The 6,974-nt window shown below is 50.4% G+C and overlaps 1 annotated feature.

The window, feature by feature from the left end:
- Positions 3,472–3,672: a silencer, noted in NCBI's record as "peak147 fragment used in MPRA reporter construct". NCBI's record gives its function as "represses an SCP1 promoter by STARR-seq MPRAs in K562 erythroleukemia cells {active_cell/tissue: K562}" and the evidence as "EXISTENCE:reporter gene assay evidence [ECO:0000049][PMID:32103011]".

Below are 6,974 nucleotides of genomic sequence, written 5' to 3'. Positions count from 1 at the left end.
GTGCCCACAGAGGGGGCTGCAGGGCCAGGCTGGGCCAGACCAGCTGCGGGGCTCAGGGAGGGCCTGGCTGGAAGAAGGGGGTCTGGGCAGCCCCTCCCTCAGCCTGAGGGAGGCTGAAGGGTCTGCAGTCCCAGTCGCTCCCCCATGGCCAAGCTGGCACTTCCCTCCAACAGGCACAGAATCCCGGGGCCCAGACACCTGCTCCTTCCTGGAGCTCAGCACCACCTTCCTTTCAGAACACTGGGCCTGGGCCTGTCCTCAGCTGCTGCTGCCCTGCAGCCCCTGCTGGGGGTCTTCCAGCCCTGCCTCCCTGGGGTCTCCCTCCATACCCTCTGTCTACACTGTTCTCACACAGTCCAGGGCACCATCTTCTCTCCCCAGACACTGCACAGCTGCTCCAGTCTCCTGGACCCAGACCCTCCCCCTGCAGTTCACAGGCTGCAGCCAACATGAACAGGCCATGCCCCCTCTCAAAGTCCTTCCACGGCTCCGCTGCTCTGAGGACTAAAATCCCAACAACAGCGTGGACGGCAGGGCCCTCATGAAACGGCCACACAAACCTCTGCAGCCTCGTCTTTCCCACTCTCGTCTCACACTCGCCACACAGAGTCAGCTGTGTGCAGGCCTCTGCGTGTGCTGGGCCATCTTCCCGAAACACCCTCTCCCAGGCCTGCCTGATGCCAGCTTTCTGCACAGCCCTGCTTGAGGGCCAACAGCAGCTGGTGTGTACTGAGAGCCACTGTGTACCAGGCACTGTGCTGTGGGCTTTACGTGGTTATCCCATTTAACACCCACAGCAACCCTGCAGGGATAGCTATTATCCATTCCCATTTTACAGAAGAAAAACTGAGGTTCACACATGAAGCATCTGGCCAAGGGCTCTCATCTGGGAAGTAAATGATGGAGCTGGGATTTGAGTCAGGTCATTTGCACGAGGTCGCTTCTGCCCATCCCAGGCACCTCTTCCCGGGTTCAGGGCCCCTCCTCCACACTCCTGTTTCCCCCTCACAAGCATTTCCCTGACTGTTCTAAAACTGCCAATTTCTCATCTCTCCATGGGGCCTGGGCTGTGAGCTCTCCAGGGCCACCTGGGTCTCACCTGTCTTTGAGGCCCAGAGCCCAGCATGGGACCTGGTACATGGTGGATGCTTGGCCAGGGTCTGCTGACTGGTGAGCTCCAGGGGCAGCCCCACTGGCTGCTAATCAGTCTCCCATAACCCCACCCTGCCTGCCACTAATATCCTGGCTTGCAAAGCCTTTAAACTAAATAGAGTTTTACAGTTCATTTGAGTTAATCACAGCTGCCCTTTCTGGAAACCTCTTCCACAAATTGCCTGAAGAGAAATTGGCAGCCTGCTGGCAGTTCCCCCACCCAGACCTCACCCTACCATAGTGCCCTAGATGCACAGGAGAGGGCAGGAGGGGGACAGGAGGACAGGGCTGAAGAGTGTGTGCACTCCAGGCCCAGGATTCATTAGGGAGGAGGCTCTGGCCCTTCTGTCTCTGAGTCAGCACAGATGTGGTCTCAAGCAGAAAGAGTTATTTTGTCCCTGAGCCCTCAGCGGTGGGCCTGGCACTCAGTGGGAACTCTGGGATGAACATGAAGAAGCCCCCACTCATGTCTCATGTCTCCAGCCTCATTTCCTGCCTGCCCCAGACTCCACTCCCCCCACGCCCCACTCCCTCAGGCCCCAGCTCTCTCCTCTTGCTGGCCCTTCTCCCTGGAGCTCTTTGCTTGCCTTTCACTTGTCTAATTCCAGTACACTCTTTGCTCCTCTGCTCAGGTATCACCCTCTTCCAGGAAGCTTTCCCTGACCCCCAGGAGAGGTCAGGAGCCCCTGCTCAGGGTCCCCACAGCCCCGGGCTTGCTCCTGTTAGTTATTCAGCCCCTGGGTAGTGATAGCAGGTCCACCTATTGTCCCTAACCCCCAACCCTGCTAGACCAGGAGCTCCTTAAGGGCAGAGAGAGCCTCTGGGACAGGCCCAGAGCCACCATGGGGCCTCCCAGAGGAGGTACCTGTCAGTGCCATTGGGGTGTGGGACCCTGGCTACACCATCCCCAGGGTCATGGCAGAGGAGTCAGGATCCAGGAAGGTGGAGGAGCCCAGATCTGGCATGATGAGCCAGAGCTGCCTTCCAGATGATCTCACTCAGGGATCTTCTACATCCATGCCCTAAATCACTGGGTTCCTTACATCATAGAAATGGTAACAGGGGTGGGGGTAGGAAACAATTCCAGGAAACCTAAGCTTTGGCCATAGAGTTCAGAGTCTCTGGGAGGGACTGGCGCCTGGCCCCCTGCCCCAGACTCATCCTGGGCATCTGTGGTCTACATCTATGGAAGTGGATCAGCATCAGAGCCCTGGCAGAACCTGCCCAACCCAGCCTCAGCAGACTGCTTCCCATCACAGCTGAGACAACTTGGTCTCACTTGCAGGCTCACTGCCCAAACCCAGACCTGTAGCAGAAGAGTGTGGGGGCTCCATCCCCAGACCCTGAGGCTCCTCACATATTCTGCACCCTAAGCTTCATTTTCTCTGCCAGACATCCTGTATACACCATCACCAATCTTCCCCATTCCAACCCTCTCTACACTCATCACTCACCCACCTGCTGCATATCCGGAACCAGGGATGCAGTGGTAAACAAGGCAAACAAAGTTCCTGCCTCCTTATTACTGAATTTCATGCAGAGAAACAGACAAATAATAACCAATGAAAAAATGCCAAGAAAATGTATAGCATGATGGATGCAGGGGAGGAAATCGAGCAGGGAAGTGTGGTGTAAAAGGGCTTCCTCTCTCTTTGGTCAGCTGCCATCATCTCTCACCTGGACCTTCCAACAGCCTCCTCAATGATCTCCTGACCTCCAGCCTTGACCCCTGATATCCACATCTGATCACGTCAGTTCCTCACTTCACACTTGTCAGTGGCTCCAGGATGTGGCCTTCAGGAGAAAAATTAAAACCCCACAACAAGGCTTACAAGGCCCTGCCCTTGCCCCCACCCACCCCCAGACCCATTTAGTAGTGCCACTTGCCTTTTAACTCCATACTCCACCCTTACAGGCCCGATGAAGCAGCTTGGGAATGGTCCCAGAAGTTAGAGATGCATCCTGTGGCCAGAGAATAGCAGACACACAGGTAATGTCAGAGGCAAAAGGTGACATTAGAGTAGATCCTGTGGGACCTTATGTGCTGTGCTGGGAGTCTTGGGTTTCATCTAATGTGTCCCTTGTCTGCCTTATCTCCCCCAAACTGACTGTAGCTCCATGGGGACAGGGACTGTTTCTCCTTTCTTCCTTTAAGCTCAGGGATGAGTAAAGATTTGATTAAGAGAAAAAGCCAATAAGGACATGGCCTGGTAACAGGACTGTCGGCCCAGGGCTCAGCTAGGGCACCTTATGGGAAAAGGAATGATCCGATGGCAACTTAAAACATAGAGGGGTTATCAAAAGTAGCCAAAACAAAGGGGCCGGGTTCAAAGAGGACAAACACTGAAGTCAGCCAGAGTTACAGACAGGTGGGTTTCAGCACCGCGGAGAGCTCTGAGGGGATGCCTTCGTCTTCGGACTTCTGGGGTCACTCATTTGCTTTTGTCTCCTGGGCGGAATTAGCTGGTTGCTATGGGAAATTTGCTCTTGCAAACTGTATTTTGTGATCAGAAATGAAGGCATAGACTCTGGAGTTAGACTGCTTGTGTTCAGATCCTGGATCTACCACTTACAAATTGTCTGAACTTGGCTGCATTTCTTAACCTCTTTCTATGCCTTGGTTGCTGTGTCCAGCAAGTGAAGATAACAGGGGTACCTTACCTTATAGGACTGTGATGAGAACTAAATGAAATTATGAGAATAAACCACTCAGTATGGAGACTGGTACATAGTCAGTGCTTTGAAAAGTAGTTATTATTATCCCAAGAGCTTTTGTACTTAATAGGGGAGAGGTGTTGCTTCAGAAGTTGCATTCCTGTCTTCAGTCACCTGACAACCTTGCTGGGGGGTGCATTTTATGGGATATTTGATGGGATATAAAATTTCAAGCCAGATCCTAATACCAACTGCTTTTTTTTTTTTTTTTTTTTGAGACAGGGTCTCTGTAACCCAGGCTGGAATGTAGTAACCCAATCATAGCTCACTGAAGGCTCAACCTCCCAGGCTCAAGTAACCCTCCTACCCCAGCCTCCCGAGTAGCTGGGACCACAGACATTCGTCACCATGCCCAGCTATGTTTTTTAATCCTTTGTAGAGACGAGGTCTCACTATGTTGCCCAAGCTGGTCTCAAATGTGTGGGCTTAAACAATCACCCCTCCTCTACCTCCCAAAGTGCTGGGATTACAGGTGTGAGCCACCACGCCTGGCCCAACTGCTTCAAATGAGCTGTGTTACTTTGGGTGAGTCATATAACCTCTCTAAACTTCATTCCTCATGTGAAAATGAGTCTCCTTATTTTATCCATATGGTAAGAATTTTTTTCCTTTTCCCTTTCATCTTCTCTTCTTTCCCCTTCTTTCCTCCCTACTTCCGTCCTTCTTTCCATGAAAATATATTCAAGCATTACTTAGCCAATTAGAAATTAGATAATATACGGGGATATTAGACTATGTGGCATTTAAGGGCCTTTCCAGTCCTGTCTCTGGGTCTTTAGCTCGACCCTTCCAAGAAAGCACTGAGTGTTGAGCCATAATGAGAAGCAAGGCCTTTGGGAAGGCCATGGGGGACACCTATGAGAGGAGCTGGATGTTTTTGCTTTGGACATGTCCAGCCTTTTAATCCCTACATTGGATCTCTCCTCTTTTCCGGTTTATGCTCAGGATCCATGGGCCCTCTGCATCTGAAACAAAGTCCTCACTTTTTGCTCGCTCACTGTGCTCCGGCCACACTCGCGTTCTTCTGTAGACTGTGGTTCTGCCCTCCACAGGGCCTCATTACACTCCATGACCTTTGGCAGGAATGTGCATTATCACAGAGGACTCTTCCCATTACAAGGGGCAGAAAATCAACTCAGTATAAGCAAAATGAAGAAACTGGTGATGCAGGGGTGGAGATTTACTGGCTATTTTTTTTTAACCTGAAAAGTCCAATCAGGCATGGCTGGGTCCAAGAAGTCAAATGATACCTCCTCTTCCCATCTCTTAGCTGGGTTTTCTTTTGCATTGACTTCATTCTCAGGAAGGTTCTACCATCTGAGTTGAAAATGGTCAGAGGTAGCTCCAAATGTACATCGTGCTGGCCTATCATACTTCTTTGCTGATAGTTTAAACAAAAGTCCTTGGTATTTTCCTCTTACTGGGGGGCCTGGCTTGGATCATCTGCCAACCTCCTGCCCGATCAGGAGTGACCAGGAGTGGAATTCACTCATTAGCCATGCCTGGCTTGCATGCCCACTCTGGAGTAAGAGCTTGGGGTCAGCCCCACCTACATGCACTGAAAGTGATATAGGAAGCTGTTTCCCAAAGGAAAATTAGAGTGTGTTAAATGAGCAAGAGGAAAGGATGCTGGGCAGATTTAAGACAAAAATAGATGCTCATTGCTTCTCTTCCTTGTTCTCTGGACTGATTCTTGCCCATCCCTCTAGGTTCCAGCTTTTTGCCACTTACATGGAGAAGAACTTCCTGATTTATTGATCTAAGCCAGGACCTTTCAATCTCTTTATTTCCCTTTTAGCTCTTAATATAATAATAGCTAACATTTATTGAGCACTTTATTTATTGAGACACTGTTCTGAGTGTTTTACATGTATTAATAAATTTAGTTCTCATAACAACCCTATTAGGTAGCTGTTTTATGATCTCAATATTCTAGTCAAGGAACTGAGGGCTGTTGAAGTTAGGCAACTCACTCAAGGTCTCACAGCCTTGCAGGGATGGGATCCCAGCCCAGGCCATCACTCTTCAGAGCTCACCTCTAACAAGGCTGTCTACCTTCTTCTATACATCATCATGCAAGGCTCACATGGCCTGACTTGCACTTCCATGTATTATCAACATAATTATTTGCTTCGTGTCTGTCTCCTCCACCAGACTGAATCTCACAGAGGCAGGACCCTGTCTGTCTCATCCACTGTGGGTCCCCAGCACTCAATGCCCTGCACAGCACATGGTAGGACTTGGTGTCCTCACTTTTCCAGTGAGAATAATGAGACTGCCCAACCCTGCCTTCCATGCAAGGGGGCTTTGGAAAGTCAAATACAAAATAATGAAGGGAGCCATCTCTCCTCTTCCCTTCTTCCTTGCTCACTCTCCCTTTCCTTCCCCCTCTCTCCCCTCCTTCCTGCCCTCCCTCATCCTCTCTGCCCCCTCCTGATGCCCTCCCTCCCTCACCCTGCTTTCTCTGCCTCTGTGCTATACTCTCTCCTCTACTTCCCAGACCCCCACTCTGAGCAAATTAAACGATACTGTGGAACCTGTTTCATTTGCATTTGCTCAGGGGCCTTGGTGCCTTCAGCTGCATGTTCATTAAATGGCTCCGTGTAGAGGGAAGTAATGAACCAATTTTATTACAACTGTCATCTCTGCCCATCCTAGGGGGCACTTACATATTCATCAGGAAGAAAGAGAACCACAAACCTCAGCTAATAGCACTTGAAGTTCTGGGCTGAGCAGAAGGCTGCCTGAGGCCTATGCTGTGTTTGTGGTGGGGGCAGGGAAGGCAAGGCTGGGCACAGTCAGTGCCTGTCACCGCAGCATCCCCATAACTGTGAATGTCAGAAATCTCATTGGCTTTGACCAGGGTCCAAAATTCCTGATTATTGCAAAGGATCCCAAATTTATCTCTGTACCAGGCATTGCCTATAGAAGAGGTAACTCGCTTGCCGTGGGAGAACCACTATTTTATTATATGTATGTGCTACCTGTGATTATAGTGACAGAGAAATTCATTGAAAAGCAGCATGGGAAAGCATGCTGATGAATGTTTATTCATTGTGCCTTTCCTCACAGAGTCATATCCGTGCAAGGTTGGTGATAATGATACG

Source organism: Homo sapiens, chromosome 1, assembly GCF_000001405.40.
Source record: "Homo sapiens chromosome 1, GRCh38.p14 Primary Assembly".
NCBI lineage: Eukaryota > Metazoa > Chordata > Mammalia > Primates > Hominidae > Homo > Homo sapiens.
This window is presented reverse-complemented; position numbering and strand designations above follow the sequence as displayed.